General features: G+C 35.2%; 1 protein-coding gene and 1 long non-coding RNA gene across 4 annotated transcripts in view; one reads left to right on the top strand and one right to left on the bottom strand.

The window, feature by feature from the left end:
- The window catches only part of LOC105377507 (uncharacterized), a 29,228-nt gene extending 25,174 nt beyond the window's left edge, over positions 1-4,054 (bottom strand). For both annotated transcript variants that reach the window (XR_001741901.2, XR_939389.3), the window contains exons 1-2: positions 3,924-4,054; positions 3,458-3,486 (exon numbers count right to left, since the gene is read on the bottom strand). This is a non-coding gene — a long non-coding RNA (uncharacterized LOC105377507). The remainder of the gene's footprint in view (positions 1-3,457; positions 3,487-3,923) is intronic.
- ASIC5 (acid sensing ion channel subunit family member 5) overlaps positions 1-19,459 on the top strand; it is a 36,549-nt gene that overhangs the window by 7,490 nt on the left and 9,600 nt on the right. The window contains exons 3-6 of one of the 2 annotated variants that reach the window (NM_017419.3): positions 4,474-4,711; positions 6,472-6,597; positions 14,958-15,107; positions 16,434-16,581. In NM_017419.3, coding sequence (NP_059115.1) covers positions 4,474-4,711; positions 6,472-6,597; positions 14,958-15,107; positions 16,434-16,581 — 662 coding nt within the window. The remainder of the gene's footprint in view (positions 1-4,473; positions 4,712-6,471; positions 6,598-14,957; positions 15,108-16,433; positions 16,582-19,459) is intronic. The other variant, XM_017008291.2, reaches the window with a different exon arrangement.

Below are 19,459 nucleotides of genomic sequence, written 5' to 3'. Positions count from 1 at the left end.
CCACTCCTTTCACAGGTAAAATGTAAATTCAGTGAAATTGATCAAAGCTTCAAAAGAATGCAACTGCTTGCCTTTATTATCCACCCTCCCCTTTTTGTTCTTTCCTTTTTCCCCTACTGCCCACGCTTTCCGCTTTAAATATTGTGTCTCCAAACCCTCTTAGGAAAAAGCATGGATCACAGATATTTCTGTGATTTTGTTTCTTTTCCCCAGGTTCATCCTCAACCTTAGCAAAATAAACCTCTAAAATGATTGGGGCTCCCCTCAGACATTTTCTTTAGTTTTACACAGAAATGAATAATAGCATTGTATTTCCATTTTTTAGCCTCTTTATGAATATTTGTCAACGACTTCATCAAAATTAACTTTATCCATGTATTGATGTTCCATAGCACAGCCATATTAGTCTAGTTTTACTTGTAATTGATTAAAGAATACTTATTAATTTTAATTTTCAAAAGTTTCTTTCACATGAAGCAATGGTTATACAAACAGAAAGACAAACTCCTAAGAATACAATTGGCAGAAATTCATAAAAAGTCACATTTCACAAAAAATTCCAGAAATTGTAATACTGTTTGTGACTTGGTTCTTTGGTATCAATTCTAGTGCTTTTCAAATGTCTTTGTGTCTAAAATTTTCACTAAAATATCTTTATAACAAAATTCATCAAAAATTTATATTCATTTGGTAAAAACTTCAGAATTTTATTTTCTTCCACTAAAATCAGAAATAATAATTGGATGTAGTGACTACTGATGCTATTTGATCCATTGTTTATGAGTAACTCGTATATTGGGTCTTCATGTTTATAATCACTGTGATTCTTTGTTTATTTCAAATTTGTTTGATGCAAGAAAAAATTGCTCAAGCATTTTTAACCAAAGGTAAAATCATTGCTTCTCATACAAATATAAAGACACAACAAAGGTTTCATTAGTTAATTAAAGAATGGTAAGACATTAAAATTTGCTCAAAGAAGAATACAAAAGGCAGACATTATTCCTCATTTTCCTTCTTCATAAAATCATCTGTAAAATGTACGAGAAATGGATCTGTTTTGGCAGGACTCAAATAAGGCCTGAGTCAGGCATCAACTTGGATTTTAGATGAAACTTACTCATTTGGGTCATATAACTTGGAGAAGTACATTTAGAACCATTGATATACATAAGAAAGACATATCTAATAACTGGTTAGCAGATGTTAAATTGTTTAAACAAATTAATATATTTTTGGTGTTATTTTCTTCTACTAGGCTCTTACCAGTTGTGTTAAATTAGAGTAAGTCAAATTCTAGCTAAGCAAGGTTTTTGAAAGGAAAACTTAGAAGAGTTTTGAAGTTCAATTTAAAATTAAAAATAAGCCAGACACAGTGGCTAGTGCCTATAATCCCAGCACTTTGGGAGGCCAAGGTAGGCAGATTGCTTGAGCTCAGGAGTTTGAGACCAGGCCAGGCAACATGGTAAAACTCTGTCTCTACAAAAAATACAAAAATTAGCTGGGCATGGTGGTGTACACCTGTAGTTCCAGCTATGTGGGGGGCTGAAGTGGGAGGATTGCTTGAGCCCAGAAGGTCAAGGCTGCAATGAACCATGTTTGTGCCTCTGCACTCCAACCTGGGCAACAAATTGAGACTCTGTCTCAAAAAATAAAATAAAATTGAAAATAAACTCAGTGCAAAACACTTTTGTTTTATGCAAAACAATATTTCTCACAAAAAATTTTCTTCCTTGGCTTAATATTGTTAGGCTTTATTTATTAAATTTAATTAATCTATATAAATTACTCTCATGGTCTCAAATATTATTAGTATAATAAAAAAAGCTTAAAAATATTTTAAGATGCCCTCCTATTTAACTTTTTTGTAGATTGTATTCATTGCTCCCATATGTATAGTAATTCCTTTATTTCTCTGCATAATCATTTTGAATATAATCCAATGAATATATTCAGGGAATACTGGCTCTGACTGTGCAGGATTTCACAGTTGTAGGGTTTTGGAGCAGATTGTTGGGAACCTGTCTGTCACTGGGAGTTGGAAACCTGAAGTAGCTTGGAGGTCCATCTCTCAATATAGGGTTTACACTGTACTTCTGCCAAAATCTGTTCCTGATGTAAACTCTTAATTCCTTAATGATCCAAGAAATACTTTTGACCAAGAAATGCAAGGTTATTAGATGTACTGTAGTTAGACAGAATACCACCATGACAGATGACCAATAGTGCCTTGGAATCAGGAAGTCCGAGGAGGATATTTACAGAGTTTTAGGACCTGGGCTAGCTTTGCAAGTATCAGAGCTAGTTAAGCAAGCTACAATATTAGTTATTGACTGTGAAAACAGTTTTTCATCTCTTAAAGAGTATGTAATGTTGGCTTGAGGTTGTTTCTCCATTTTTGTGTTTTGTGTATGCCCTACCTTGACTGAGAAAGGATTTAATATGGCTTGAATTTGAAAGAAAAATTATATGTATACATTGTGGGGGCCATGGGTGTTGGCCCCCTAAAGATAGGCTGAAAAATTAGTGACATGAGGCAGATTTATTAATAGAAGAAAAGGCTTACAATGATATTTAATGTGTATACACATGAGCCTTCAGAATAAAGCCCAACATCCCAACCGGATACAGAGGCTTATTTATCATCTTGAGATTATAGAAAGAATGTGGGCTCAGAACATTACTGAAAGCAGGTTTTAACACCAAGACAGGTTATACAGGTTATAGTAGGGAGAAAGGAAGAGGCTTGACTAGCAAAGGTGACCTTGTTATATAGATGAAGACTTCTTCAGAGAGACAAGATGGCAAATGTTTATTTTTAGACTTTTAAAGGTGTCAGAATCTCAATCTCTCCTATACCTAGCAAATGCCTAGCAAGAGGAGGCCCGGCTGCATTAATGGACGTTTTCTACAGATGCAAATTTTCCACATAAAAGACAGCTTTGCAAGGCCACTTCCGTTAGCTGACCCTGCAGCAGCCATTTCAAAATATGTCAAAAAATGTCTTTTAGAGTAAATATTTTTATTTTCTTCTCTCTTTATATATATGTATATATATACACACACATATAGATATATATTTATATATTAAATAAGATAATATAATATAAAGCAAAATAGAAATAAAATCTGGGACACAAAGGAGGTTCAGGTATGACATACAAACCACATACACCATATACTTACCAAGAGTGGAATATGCATTCCGTTCTATGCCTTTAGCAGTCAATTTAAAGAGAGAACATTTGTTCAGTTTCAAAATTTATAATATCTAAAATATGAAAGTCCTCATCATGTTTGTAAAGGAATGGAAGGCATGCAAATGAAGAACCATATGGAATGCAGAACAAAATTGCCCGGCAAGATAAGAGAATTAGAAAGTGATACAGTCGTTAAGTTAAATAGATTACTTCTGCTTTGGTGGCCAGAATGAATCATTTATTTAATAAGTACTTACCTAACACTCACTATATTCCAGGCAGGTGTCTAAAAATTTTAAGAAAAACAATTAATGTAATCATTAAAAGAACACTTTGAGGTAGGTTATACAGATTTTACAAGAGAGGAAACTTAAGTCAGAGGGAAATGAAAAAAAAATTTGCTAAGTCATACCATCAAGTGGCTGTAACAATTAGAACCTAACTGGAGAAACAGAATCACCATGAATGACAGAATAAAGGGCTTTTTTTCTAGGGATTAAGCCCCACTTCGTTGCAGGAGCTGGTTAAGCAGTCTTTGTAAGTCTTTCGCCTGTTCTTTGTGCTGGGGCTGAAGTAAGCAGGGCCAGCAGGAAGGGAAAATGGATATGAAGTCGGGGAAACAAATACAAGCTCAAAATGTAGGTCTCTTTTTCACTACCTCCAATCTTGATGGTGTGAATGACCTGCAGGATAGCTGTCATCTTTACCAGGTCGCACTCTTACCTAACCCAGTATTTGAAGAAGCTGAAGGAAAAGGTCACAAAGGAGCTGGAGGAGCTGTGGTCCTGGCTGCTGCCCGATACTAGCAAGTTGAGTCAGCAGATGGATTGCAGTGTGGGTGAGCTACCACAGCTCCTGCACGACAGTGAAACTCACATATATACAAGGATGGGAATGCTGGGAAATGCAGTTCTAATTTAGCTAAGCTGACACAGGACAAGGCCACACACAGGAAATCTGGCTCCTAAATGCATTTTTAACAACTATATATTCCCTCCTCTTCCTTTAAATTGAATCTTGAAGATCCATTAGGTGTCATCCAGATCAAGGTCTGGGGAATATTCTAGGTAAATGAAACTACATGTGCAAATACAAGATTAATTGCACAATGGGTCAAAGACTTCTTAGGCATCAAATTTTGCTTAAATGTCTTGCAAATAAGGGAGAGTGTGGGAGATAAGAAGAAGCTAATAGAATCTAGATGTTGGTATCTGTCTTCCAGATAATTATAAGTTTTCATTATTCTAACTATTGCCTTCATTCCTGCTAATAGGTTCCAAACAGATGCTGTAGCCAAATTTGGTGTTATTTTTTTCTTATGGCACATTGTATCCAAAGTCCTCCATCTTCAAGAAATTACTGCCAATTCCACTGGCTCTAGAGAGGCTACTGATTTTGCTGCAAGTCACCAAAACTTCAGCATTGTGGAATTTATCAGGAACAAAGGTTTTTATCTCAACAATAGCACTTTGTTGGACTGTGAGTTTTTTGGAAAGCCATGTAGCCCAAAGGTAACGATTTTCTATTCTTCAAATATAATCAAAGTAATAAGTTCCGTTACTGCACTGTTTCACATTGAGCTCCCACGGCATTTACTCCCATGGTGAATCAATCCAAATTTGCTTACAGATTCTATTTCATTAGCTCAGCCTTATGATATCAGGGGTATGGAATACACATGAGACAAATTTCCTCTTTCAAGCAGTTAGATAAGGAAAGATAGAAAAGAGAAAACTTGATTGCCTTTCTTGTAGTATAGTCCTTCCAAAAGAAAAACAATTTAACACAAGAGGATATTTTAATTTTTTTCATTCATCAACAAACAACCTATTCCAACATAGTATTTTTATAATCACCAAATATCCATCACTCTGCATATATGCTTATGGTATTGCATTAGAGACTATAGAAAATAAGAGGATCCCAGCATTTAACTATGAAAAATTTATATATTATTATTATATATTATATATTATATATAATAACTAGTATATATTATATATTATATATAATAACTAGTATATATTATATATAATAAACATTCACTCATAACAAATACAAAACAAATACATAACAAATACAAAATCCTGTTATTATTGTTTATAAAATTAATCTACATTTAAGATAAAGTACTAGATCTATCTGTAATCTATTAATAAAGAACTATACAGGCAATTTGATGCCGTATTTCCCGTATCAGCAATTCTGTAGCCTGTGTTGTTAGGGGAACCTAAGTAAACACAAATTCTTTGTTCTTCAATACAATTTCTTATGTTTTTGGTAGGCCGCCTTAGCACACAGTAAGCAGAAAAAAATGCCTGAGAGACATTTCACAGAGGTGAGGTTCTGGCCTAAACTCTTAACTTGGAAAGTAAGCTTTCTTATGCTGTTTTTATTCACCAACAAGTTTAACTTACCAACAAAAAATTTCATGTTAGAGAATTTTTTCAGTTGCATATTACAGAAACCCATTTCTGTTCTAGTAAACTGAAGACTAAAAGTAATGAATTGGCTTAATTAAGCAGGAACTCCAACAGTAGGTCTGGCTTCAAAAAATGCTGAACCAACGGACTCCAAGACTGTCTTTAAGATTCTGACTTTGTTTCCATCTCATAATTCTGGTTGGCTTCTTTCTGTATCAGTTCTCCCCACACCTCACCAAAATGGCTGCTGACTCCCCCTAGACTCATTATCAGAGTTTAGCACTCCAGTATCCACTTAATAATCTCACCAAAGACTCTAATTAGCTCCACTTGGGACACATATCAATTCTTGAACCAACCACTGAGGCAAGAAGGTGAGGTTTAAGCTTGGCCCAGCTTGTGTCCCATGCACACCTCTGTAGTGGTTGGAAAAGGAGGGTAAAAGGAGAGTAAAAGGGTCATGTGATTGACTGCCACACTGTGACCATACAGGTTACATTAGGCATAGCTCCTCCAAGAAAGGATGCTGAAGTAGTGCTCCACAGATAAAAACATGTTTCCATACATCTTCAGGAAAACATTAAACAAGTAATTTTTTTAAATGTTTTAAATACATGCTTAATTTTATATGAAAATGTCTCCTTTAAATAATCACATGCAAATTGACGAATGCATATTACCAAAAAAAAAAAACTATCACTGAATACACATATAAATCAGACTATTCTCTCTGATATTTCTGCAGTCTTGTTAGGTATTTGTGCTTTAAAAAAAAAGGTTATGGCAAACTTGAGAAGTGACAAAAATATCAAATTGATGGTTTTTTTTGGTTCATTTACATATTGGAGGATTTTGCACATGTCTTCACTGAATATGGAAATTGTTTTACTTTTAATCATGGTGAAACTCTCCAAGCAAAGAGAAAAGTGAGTGTCTCTGGAAGAGGTTTGAGCTTACTCTTCAATGTGAATCAGGTACTGAATTTTCTCCAGGTTCAAGACAAACGAGAATGTGTGGGGGTTTCAAAAACTTGATCAGACTATTGGGCCATATCAGATAGTTCCCACACATTGGATATTATTTCAGTTTTTGTTAATTTAGTCTAGACTCCTATGGATTTTATATAACTACTGGCTTAGAAATTAAACAGGCAAAATTTTGAGGCATAAACTGGAGATTTTTAGCTATCCTACTGACTTAAATTATTGACTCCAGGGAATGTTCATGCCACAAAATAAGAAAACCCAGAGATTCTAAGTTGCAATGTATGTAGCTATTTTAAGAGAACTCTTTGCATTGAACAATAATTTTAGAAATACGTTTATGTAAATATCACGTTTTAGAAAGAAACTCTACATACACATTTGACAAACTATAGAATGCATATCTGGAAAAGTGATGGAAAACATAATGGTTATATAAAGAATATTATATAAATAGATTTTGTCCAAGCCCAGCTTTTGGAAAGCTGAAATTGACCTAATAAGTTCTAAGTGTTTAGTCCTGGGAGGCAGATGTTCAAACACCTAAGAAATGCAGTGGTGTTTTCTTCAAGGGTTCCTAGTATAGCTCCCACCCAAGATTAGTTAATTCTGACCTTTTGTTTAAATAACTACTTCTAGTATTACACATTTTAAGGCATTCTACTTTATTATTATGGTTTTATAAAAGAGGATTGTAAAATGCTGATGGATTAAGTATCCAAAATCATACAATTAATGACAAAGATGAAAAGTAAAATTGATGTTCCTGCATTCACCTCCCAATCCAAGTGAATCATGCCATTGGCTACTTTTAAAGAATTTCCAGTAATGTACTCTTCATAGCTTCCTTTTGTATCCCATTCAAGATATTTTTCTTTACGTCCAAACATAACACTGCAAACTTTAATGCATGTACCTACATATACTTGTAATGTATTTGATTAATACTTTCGAGTCATTCAAATATTAGCCCTATGGTCAGTTCGAACATTATATTATCAATTTTTACAAACTAGAATTTTCCAAATATTTTTAGAATGCAATGAACATCTACAAATTCAATGCAATGTTCCATAGGTAAATAACATTTAGATATTTCTCCAGACTAGACAGTTAAGTGTTTCTTAGAGGGTTACAAAAGGGCCAGGAGAAATAGAGTTTTGAATTACAAATAGAATATTTAGTATGTTTGTTAAATGTAATTACATAGGCAGTTGATCCATTCATAGACGATATTCTTTATATTTATATTCTTAAGACTGTGCCTTCTTCTTATAGCCTAAAATTACAACTAATGACAGCCACCAGAAGTTTACTCTTAAATTTCTTCATCTGACAAAAGATTTATTAAAAAGAACATTAGTGTTAAAGAAATAGTGTAAATCTTCACTCTTATGGGAAAATGAATTTGAATTTAACATAAGGGCAGGGATTTTAATTGCAAAATGAAGAGGGCCAAATGATTTTCTAAGCAAATGAGTCAAAGAAAACAGCCAAGAGGGAAGCAACTAAAAGGCAACTAGGTGAAGAGAAGGCCAGAGGGAACAAGATCATTAACAGTAATTGTAAATACTTACCTGCACCTATCTAAGGTGAAATGTGATCCATGGAAAACTATAGAGGTCTTAAGCAATGAATGTCAATTGAGAAAAACGGTGAGACAAGTCTCAATCATTTTAGAAAGTTTATTTGCCAAAGTTAAGAACAGGCACCCATGACACAGCCTCAGGAAGTCCTGAGGTAGTCCGGGGTAGTCAGGGCACAACTTGGTTTTATACATTTTAGGAAGACATGAGACATCAATTAATATATCTAAGACATACATTGGTTTTATCCAGAAAGGTGGGGACAACTTGAAGCAGGGAGGAGGCTTCAAGGTCATAGGTAGGTGAGAGACAAATGGTTGCATTTTTTTTGAGTTTCTGATTGACCTTTCCAAAGGAGGCAATCAGAATAGGCATTCATCTCAGTGAGCAAAGGAATAACTTTAAATAGAATGGGAGGCAGCTCCCAGTTTGACAGAGCCCAAGATAATTTCCTTTCCCATTCCCCTGCTCCCTTTAAAAAAAAAATCTTTAGGAGAAAGCATTTTAGGAGAATATGAGTCTCTGGTCTCAGTTTTCATCTGATTTCTCATGGTTAGGATGGTTTATTACTAGATGGGTAGGTCCCAAAAGCTTATTTTTAGCAGATTGCAAAGTCTCATGTTCTATGAAGAGAAAATAGTGGGAGGAAGGGAGAAAAACAACAGCAAAAAAAAGAACAATACTGGAAATATTCATATAGGCCATGTTACTTTGAAGTCCGTACATCAGTAGGCAGGTATGAAAAGTGGCTTATGTATGTAAATAGGCTGCAGTTACTTTCTTCTAAAGTTTAAGTTGACTGGCTTCAGTTTGCCGGACTTTAAGAAAGCACAGCTTAGTTTTCAGTGACTCCAAATTAGGAAATATGGGGGAAAAAAAAGAAAAAAATTGAAAACATTATTTTGAAGGCTTGTAGCCAAGAAAAAATAGAATTTGGTCCAAACTGTAGAAAATAATAAAAATTGAAAAACACTGGGCAAGACTAGAATCTAACAACAGGTGTACCCTAGTTTTGGAAACATAATTTTTCTCTCTTCTCTAATCCTAACTAAAGGATTAATTAGGACATAAAATTTCCCATTTTTGCTAAAGACAAATCATGTTAGGACTAGTTTGCTTTATTTTACTTTGCCAAATTATTTGTATACAGTGCACCAAGAATAGTTATTTTTTACATAGGCTTTTAAATTGCCTTTGGTGGAACTTTGTTCCATAGAAGGAATGTCAGATAAGACTTTTTAAAAGCCGAGCCCAGCCGTAGATTTGTGCCATCAAGTACCTATGAGTTGGGTGAATCTCCTCGCCACTCGAGGTTCCAAGATAAACTTGGAGCTTCTGGGCCTGTCAGAAAGTGACATTCTTTACTTACCACAGGTCAGAAACCCTGTACAGGGACTCTGTACACAAAATATGAGGTCAGTTTTTCCAAGGACATTATTGGTTTCATAAGCCAAGTTTGATTCCTTAAAGGAAAGCACACCATTCCAGTAAAAGCCTTGGTAAAATAACCAGTTTCTCCAATTGTGTCCTGTTACAAGTGAAAACAGATTCTTATTGCACTTATGCAAATAACTGTATTGCCACAAGTTAAGAATATCCACAAATAGTTTCCAAATTCTGGAGAAATCAGGCAGACAGGATAAAGTATGCTCCACGTTTTGTTCATAGGAGTATTCTAAATTGTAGCTCAAAATAAAAGTTTTAAGACTCTGAAAAACAAAACAAAGGATCAGCAAACATTTTAAGTAAAAAGTAAAAAAGATTATTTGAGTCCATGCAGTTAATTCCTGTTCTGTTTAATACTCATGAACATTTTAGCTCTCCATGAGTCCTGAAAGTTTTTCCTCTTTTCTGATGTTACAATCTCCAAAGTTATCAGAAACCTGCATTTAAGGGCACCTGTTAGAGTTTTGTAGCTGATTATAAAAACACCTTCTAAAGAGGACCAAAACATGAGCACAATTGTCCTTGGATGAAAAAAGGTTTTAGGGCAGACATAGTCAAAGACACAATTGACAAGGAAATTTGTTACCTCAGTGGTACACAATAATTTTAACATAACAATTATTATTATTATTGATAATGTACACTAAGTCATATCAGAATTACAGGCCTTTCCATTAATTCTGGAACACTTACCAATAACATTTACATAAATACAGCCCAAATAAAACCAAACACCATTTCATATTTGACAATGCTTCCTGTATAATTTTATACCAAGTAAGCCAAATTATGTCATTTTTGGACTTTAGGGAAACTAATATCTTAAAGGATTAATTAGGTCAGAAAAAGACATAATTTATAATTTGATTTTAGAAAGATCTTCAAATATCAAAGGTGTAAAATACTTGATATTATGAAATAGGATTACAGGTTATTGTAAAGTCATTCATTTAACCAAAGTGATAACTCAAGGATTTTTTTTTAAAAAAAGAAAAAAACTTCATTCTTTGAGAGAGGAGACTTAATTTTCCAAATAAGAAGCCCTAATAAAAACAGCATGAAGCCAATTAAATTTGTTTTCCAAAATTTTGTAAACAATCTATAAAATTTAATCTTGACCATAAAATATAACTTCCATAAGCCTTTTATAACCTTTATGATCTTTATTAAGGAGTTAGTTAATGCTTCAAGAAAACCTTGTTAATCTGACACAGGAGTCCATATGCTGGTCTTGCATCATTGTGCCTTTGACAGTCGTGATTAATTTATAGAGAAACTGAACTTATTTTGTCTTTTAATATCGCCCATTGCAATCTCACATGCCCACCTCTTCCTCAATAGTCCCTAGGCCTCGAGGAGTTGAATGGCTTTAATTTCTGGCCCCACATCTCAAAAATGCATTTTATTTATTTATTTATTTTTTTTACTGAGACAGAGTCTCACTCTGTCACCTAAGCTGGAGTGCAGTGACATGATCTTGGCTCACTGCAACTTCCGCTGACTGGGTTCAAGTGATTCTCATACCTCAGCCTCCCAGGTAGCTGGGACTACAGGCATGCGCCACCATGCCCAGCTGATTTTTTGTATTTTTAGTAGAGATGGGGTTTCACCATATTGGCCAGGCTGGTCTGGAACTCCTGACCTCAGGTGATCCACCTGCTCAGCCTCCCAAAATGCTGGGATTACAGGTGTGAATTCCTGTGCCTGGCCAGGAATGCATTTTATTTTTATTGGAATCTGCTGTGGGGCCTGAAGATGAGGATTTAATTGCTGTTAGTGTTTAAGATTTAGTAGGACTTGGTATCCTTTTTAGACCCTGGAGTCAAAGCCCTGTAACTTAATGTCACAAGGACTTTAAAAGCACATACAGGAAGATACATGGATGTAATAACCTTAATTTGAAAACAAAAATTTTTATCTCAGTTTTTTTCCTAAGCAAACCAACACTTAATAATAATGTGACAACTTGATCATATTAAAGTTTTTGGTTTTTTAAAAAATAAATCCTTATTGTGACTTACACTGACTATTAATGACATGCTTGAACTTTCTGGTTTGACCTGAACACTTCTCCTTTCTTAAACAACCAGTCATTTTATTTTAGGACTAAATTTACCATATTATTTCTCTTTAAGCTGTCTTACCACAAAAAAACCTCCTTATTTTTATAGCTTTCTTTACATCTCTTTTTGTTTGCTTGTTCTTCTTACCTTGTTTTATACATAACCTTTAGATAAGCTTTGAATTAGACAAAATTTGTTTATGTTTTTTTATAAAGGACACACTTTTTTTTAGCAAGAATGTTTTTCTATAATATATATTTATTGGAAAATACCCACATAATGAAATATCTATTATTTAACTGAATATAACTTTATATTCTAAGTTACGACATGTTTGTCTACAAGTATTTATCCCTTACCTAACTATTTTATTTTAATTGTTCACCTAGATTATTTAGGAAAACTACGATAGTCATGATTTAAAGTTATGAAACTGCCATTGCAAAAATAAAACTGAGGCAGTGAAAAAGATACGACCTAATTGACTCCATCTTGCTTCTAACCTCCAAGCTGTCCTTGTTCATTCCTGGACTTTGGGAGGAACTGAGTTTATAGTTTAGGTTTGAAACAAAGACAATAGCAGTCCTTTCCCAAACAAACCTCCTTACTGCCTGTGGACTAGGCTGCCTAAAGCCACAAGATTAGAAATTATGGTAATTTTGAAAATTTAAGATGCAGCTATTTTCATTAAACCAATATCAATGTCTTATTTATTAAAAACTACACAAGTAATGATCATTCTGTTTGGGGCTGGGTTTACAGTTTTGTAATCTCTATGCCAAATTTTGACATTTTATAGTGTTTGGCAGGGATAAGTTGAAATAGCCTGATTAATAAACATAAACAAAAAAAGTATGCTGGCAATTCTTAAGACATTTCTGATATTACTTTACTAGTAATTTTAAAGCTAGCTTTTCTATTAAAGATTTTACTTAAGTTACATAAACTTGAAAAAGAATTTGAACTGTCTTTTCTTTTTTCCTGATAAAATATATGATTTAAACACTTTTATTTTTCTTTAAGCCAATTAATTAGAGCCCTTTTATATATTTTCTGTAGTGAAATATTGTGTATATGACATATAAATACATAGACATATTAGGTATGCCAATAAAGGTACATTTTATAGATTCATAAAGACCCTTTTATTATTTTTTTCCTATCTTAGACATTCAGATTCTTGATAACCTGTTTTACAACCCTAGGCAGTTGTTAGCTAAATAGCCTTAAATTTGCTTATTATAGGAAACAACTCAGGTGAAAATAAAATAGCAAACTTTATATCATAAGGTACAGAGAGAAAAAGTCTGTTGGTGCTAGAGGGAGATGCTTTTATTTTTCTTTGAGCCAAATCTAACATAAAATTATAGAACTCTATCATAATATTGTATAAGGAGACCAATCTTATTTAGATAGGGACTACCTATATTTTAACTGGATCTCTAAGCTCTGGGCAGAGCTCACATTGAATCCTGGGTCTCCAAAAAACGGTAGAATTATTTTGAGGTTAGACCCTGTGATGCTTTCAGAGTGCACTTAAATTTTTTTTTAACAAAGATATTTCTGAGTGTCTTAACTACACTCTTCCTTAAAAACCCAAGATTAGCCTCTGTTGCAATAACTATTTTAGTCAAAAGATCAGGTGAAAACGGAATTCAGTCAACTGAAGGAAAAAAAAAACTTTTGCTCAAAAAAAAGACAAAGTCTTAGGAGAGAAAAACAAAAAAAAAACCCACAAAAACCTGAAGGCCTTTTAAATACAAACATGCACACATGCACACATACACACACACATCTTGGATGTTAATCTTTTAATTAAGTTGACTTTGAAACACTGAGCTTCTTTAAAAAAATTCTTTTTAGACCTCATTACCATATTTCAGAAGTGCAGCCATTGCTCTTTCAGTTTGGTCTGGCTGATAAAAAGGTGGCTTTGTTATGTAAATAAAGCCCCTTTAGTAGTCAAAATAAAAAATCTTTCCTTTTTTTTTCCTCTTGATTGCTGTTTTCTTTCCACTTCAGAGGCCTTGTTCCCCATAGTTTAGAGTTCCCCTTTGGATTTGACCAAGTTGGGACACGTGTTGGACCCAAAATGTGCTGCTAGCAGACTTAGCTTTTCAGGGCTGTTATCCCTGAACAAGATTGGTCGTCCTGTGTTGCAGCTACCTGGCACAGTGTGTTAGGTGCTCAAGATGCAGCAGGGGTTGGCTCCTAACATGCACCTGCCAGCTGAGATTAGACCCTAAGTATATTCTTCTGAGGGGGATACTTATTTAGAGCCACTGCACATTTTAGGGAGCATTCCTCCCAGACACCCCCATGTGATTCTCAGTCACATGAGAATGCCCCAAAAGGCTTAGGGGAGCAAGGTGCTTTATTTCTTTGGAGTGGAAAATTCTATACTCATGAGCTAGAGGGTTCTGAGTTGGTCAAATCCAATGAGAGAAAGAACCAAAACACACACACACACAACCCCACAAGAGAGAAACAAACAACAAAACAGTTAAGCAAAACTAACAGTGATCACACAAATTATATGATTTCTGAGCGCTCTAAGTGTAAGCAGAAATTAACATCAGCTGGTTGTTAATGCTAACTTTAGTTCTTTAAAAAGAATTTGCAAGAAAGAATCCCAAACCAGTTTTCTTACCTAGTGATGGGGCCCAAGCTGAAAACTGCTCTCTGCCGATGCAGAAGCAGGTAGGTTCACATTCCTTGGTGGATGCAGTGGAAACTCCCACAAAAAAAGGAGTTTTTTTTGTTTGTTTGTTTTTTGTTTTTTTAATAGCGAATGAACCTCAGACCCCCAAATGAAAAACAATGGAAGATCAGGGATCCCTGGAGGAAAGAGTTCCTGGAGTTCAGCAATCGTCCTATTGGTTTGGGCTATAAGGTGCCCAAGCTGGTACCAAGCACTGATAGGCTAGCTGCTGCAGGCCAGGTCAGCTTCACTCAGGATCCCTTTGTGGTTACCAGACATCAATCAAGAAAAATGATGAGACAAGCCTCAATTATTTCAGGACTGTCCTGAGTAGACCCCACCTTGAAGGGACCCAAGATAGTTTCCTTTCACCGATTCAACCACTAAAGTATGTCTTTAATTTTCATACACTTTAGACAAAAAGAGATAGAAATATAACATAAAATATTTAGGATTAGTCAAACGCTATCATGAGATGATAAAACTAAATCCTAAACTTGTTTAGAACTGATATAGTCAATTTGCAATTTGGGCAAAAACATATTTTTGTTTCAGGAGGCATTCACTGATAACCCAGCCCTTGGTTTCGTTGATGCTGGGATCATCTTTGTTATCCATTCACCAAAGAAGGTGCCACAGTTTGATGGGTTAGGCTTGTTGTCACCTGTGGGAATGCACGCAAGGGTAACCATCCGCCAAGTGAAGGTAAATACTCGAGTCTGAGGAAATTAGGTGGGGTAGTGAATGCATCAAACACATAAGTAATGCTTTTCACTAGAAATTCCTTTCTCCCATGCCTGTAAAACACCATTAGAAATTCCAAAATTTCATTTCAGATTATTTTCCTTTATCTGAAGGTACATGATTAGTGGAAACAGAAACTATGTAAGTGAAAGCTGGGAAGCCTATCAAATCCAAACTTTACATTTCATTAGAAATGGAAAGGGTCATTAAGTATAAAGAGGTACCTAAGTTGCTGAGCTATGATTCTTCAATGAGACTATCTGGGAAGGAGAAAATTAGTGGGAAAAGCAGGAATCTTGGAGTCAGGCTGGTCTGGTAGGTTTCTGTTTGCCAGCCACTTACTTGCCCGGTAACTTCTTTAATTAGCTTCCTGAATTTGCATCTCCTCTCTGCACAAATAGGGAAGGGGTAATATTTTTCTTTCATAGTAAGGAAGTTTAAGTGAAGTACCATAAAGAAAGCACTTACCATTGATAGACACAGGAGACAGCCAAGGGCCCCTGGTGAAACCCTGCCTTCAAACCTAAAACAGCCTGAAGGCTGAAAAACTGGACTGCTTGTCCCAGATGAAGGCTGTCCTTTCCCACCTGATTCTTTCTGAAAAATGCCCACCTGCACATTGGGAGGAAGGGGTGGAGCCTTGGGAAGTTTGCACTGTTTGCAGTGGGGAGGAGCCTGGCCTCTCATGTTCCTGTGTGGTGGCCTGAGATTCAATCTGTGAGGTGGGAAACCTACCAGCAGGACTCTCTCTCACTTAGCTGAGAGTCATTTTTCTTTTTTTCTTTTCACCCAATAAATTCCATTTTCCTCACCCTTCTATTTGCCCGCGAGCCTCATTTTTCCTGGTCATGTGACAAGAGCCCAGTTTTAGCTGAACTAAGGAGAAAGTTCTGCAACACCATGTTGCCTGGCACATAATAGTTGCTTATTAAAGGATCTTTTTAAAATGTGATTTTCTTCACTGTTTTGTAGGTGAGCTGATTACTACACTAATATAACATTTACATAAATGATATTTTTTCCTTATATGAGTTGATTTTTAGAATACTCAATGTGTCTGACTTTATTAATTCACATTTGGGATATATGTTTAAGGATCACTATTATACTTAGCTTCAGGGAATTTCAGGTCAATAGAGTAGGCAAAATAGACAAATGTAACCAATTTTGGTTTTGAAAATCAAAGAGCTCTGAGAGGAAAATAAAAATGTGTACCAGCTTCTTGATGGAAAATAAGTGAATTGATGTAAACACATCTCCTGAACCCAGTATTTATCTTATCTTAAGACAGTTCATCAAGAATACCCTTGGGGAGAATGCAATCCTAACATCAAGCTGCAGAATTTTAGCAGCTACAGCACTTCTGGTTGCTTGAAGGAATGCAAAGCCCAGCACATAAAAAAGCAATGTGGATGTGTGCCTTTTCTTCTTCCTGGTAAATAAAGACTAACTGCCCCCTTACTTAACTAGACAGTTAAGTGTTTCTTAGAGGGTTACAAAAGGTCTGGGAGAAATAGAGTATTGAAATACAAATGGAATATTAAGTATTATTAAGTGTAATTACAGATGTTGCTGACCCATTCACAGAAAAATTATTATATTCTTAAGCCTGTTCCTTCTCTTTGCAGACTAAAATGACAACTAATAACAAAGTCACCAGAAGTTTAGTCCTAAATTTCTTTGAATTTTATGTTTATATTTACTTAATTTGAAACATAGCAAATCAACATATCACTAAATTGTTTTCCATTCTTCTGAAATTCTACACTGGAAAATTATCCATTTGCCAGGTACAACTTCGACTGACAAATTTTACATTATAAAATCATCGCAGAGATTTCTGGAAGAGAAAATTGCGATATCAGGGTGGGGCCCCAATACTTACTCCCAAAGGCTAAAATTTGATGGTCTCAAATATCTAAAACAGCACACCAAGATTTTCTTAATTTTGAAAGAAAAATTAGATCATGGATATGTCTTACCAAGCCTGAAGATTTCACTGTTGAAAAGTTATTTTCTTTGGGACTGTAAAATTAACTTCAGGCCTCCTTTTCATACAATTTGCAACTTTTCCAGAACCATGGGTGAGAGGCAAGCATTCAAGGAAGCAATGGAGCAGGGTGAATAAGAGCTGGATCTCAACCAGGCTGCTCATGTCGGCTCTACAATTTCTCCCCTAGGTGATCTTGAACAAGTGACCTAACCTCTCTCCTCTGCTGTCAAATGGAGGAGGGGATAATAATCCCATCTTATAGGGTTGTTGTAAGAATGAAAGGGGTATGTAAGTGGTTCAAATAGTGCCTGGCACAGAATATAGTCTATGTAAATGTCAGATATTTGTATTCAGGTCTCTTACATCCCCCTCCCACAGCATATCTAGAAAGATATATTGTAACACAATCTACCTGCCAAAATATTGTAACTGCCCAACGGGCTCACCATGCCTGCTGCCTAGACAGAGCTGATTTATCAAGACAAAGGAATTGCAATAGAGAAAAACTAATTCATGCAGAGCTGGCTGTGCGGGAGATTGGAGTTTTATTATGACTCAAATCAGTCTCCCTGAGTATTCGGAGATAAGAGTTTTTAAGGATAATTTGGTGGGTAGGGGACCAGTGAACCAGTGAATCAGGGGTTCTGATTGGTGAGATCAGAGATGAAATCATGTGGAGTTGAAGCTGTCTTTTTGCGCTGAGTCAATTCCTGGGTAGGGGTCACAAAACCAGATGGGCCAGATTTTTGTTCTGGGTGGTGCCAGCTGATCATTGGAGGCAGGGTCTGCAACATATCTCAAGCACTGATCTTAGCTTTTACAATAGTAATGTTATCACTATAAGCAATTTGGGGCGGTTTAGAATCTTGCACCCTCCAGCTGCATGACCCCTAAACATAATTTCTAATCTTGTGGCTAATTTGTTAGCCCTATATAGGCAATCTAGTCCCCAGGCAGGAAGGGAGTTTATTTTGGGAAAGGGCTGTTATTGTCTTTGTTTCAGAGCTAAACCATAAACTAAGTTCCTCCCAAAGTTAGTTCAGCGAACGCCCAAGAATGAACAAGGACAGCTTGGAGGTTAGAAACAAGATGGAGTCAGTTAGGTCAAATCTCTTTCAATGTAATAATAAAAGTAAAAAATATATAAAATATAAATATAAAATATGTATAAATATAAAATATATATAAAATATAAAAAATATATATTATATTATATATAATATAAAAAATAATAAAAGTAAAAAAGATATAAATTTTGCAAAAGTGGTTTCATTATTTTCCAGAGGTTTCCATAATCATCACATCCTTCTTTTTAGTATCCAGATTATTGATCTCTGGCCACTGCAAAAACTGCTGTTCTATATAAAACTGCTGGCTCTGGCTCTGATTTCTCATTCCTAATTTATTGGCAAAGTTGCTGGAAAGAAGTCTGAATTGTTTCATGCAGAATAATGTTGACAATTTTAAAAGTTATGATTATTAAACCAAAACCTACTGGCTAATGTGGACCAGAAACTAGGCAAGGTGCTATATAAAACACAAAGAATGATATCTGCATGAACTTTAGCATATATATCAAATGCATTCAGGAATATGATCTTATTTGGTTAGATTCTCACACATCCCTTTAAGTGTACTGATATATGAATAAACGGAAGATTCTAAACGTTAAACAAATTCGCTGAGGTAATTCCACTAACAATTTGAGGAAGCAATCTCCAAAACAGCTTTTCAGATATTGGTTATTTCCAAAATTTCATTGTTCTTTTGTTTGTTTGTTTTTATTTTTGTTTTCTGTGTTCCATCTACCATCTTTTTTTTCTGAATTGCTCTTTATAATGGAAGAAATATTATTGCCAGAGCAAGAAATAATTCAGAAAAATGAGGTTTTTTCCTAACTCAGTGTTGGAGGTAGTTTTTTTTTTTTACTTATTGTATTTTATTCATAAAGAGCACTTCCTTACAGTTAGCCAAACATTCCACAAATTGTCCGCACGTTGTAAGTGGACAATCTCCTTTGGTTATTTTCAAGATTACTGACTAAACATTGTGGCTAACTGCTGAGTCACATGGGCTATAGCAATAGACAAATATTGTATTAAGGCTAAAAGACTAAGTCTTTAGAATCAGCCGTAGGAGTAAACCCAGCTCTGATACATAGTGATTTTCTACTTATCTCACAATCTATAGTGGGTACTTAACAAATATTGGTACTTACCTGCCCCCTCCCCATCCTACTTCTGGAATGGCAGTCTGTCAGGAACGTGTGTGTGTGTGTGTGTGTGTGTGTGTGTGTGTGTAAATGGATAGAGGGAGCAGG

The sequence above is a fragment of the Homo sapiens genome, chromosome 4 (assembly GCF_000001405.40).
Source record: "Homo sapiens chromosome 4, GRCh38.p14 Primary Assembly".
Taxonomy (NCBI): Eukaryota; Metazoa; Chordata; class Mammalia; order Primates; family Hominidae; genus Homo; species Homo sapiens.
The sequence above is the reverse complement of the archived record's forward strand: the minus strand, read 5'-3'. Positions and strand labels throughout refer to the sequence as shown.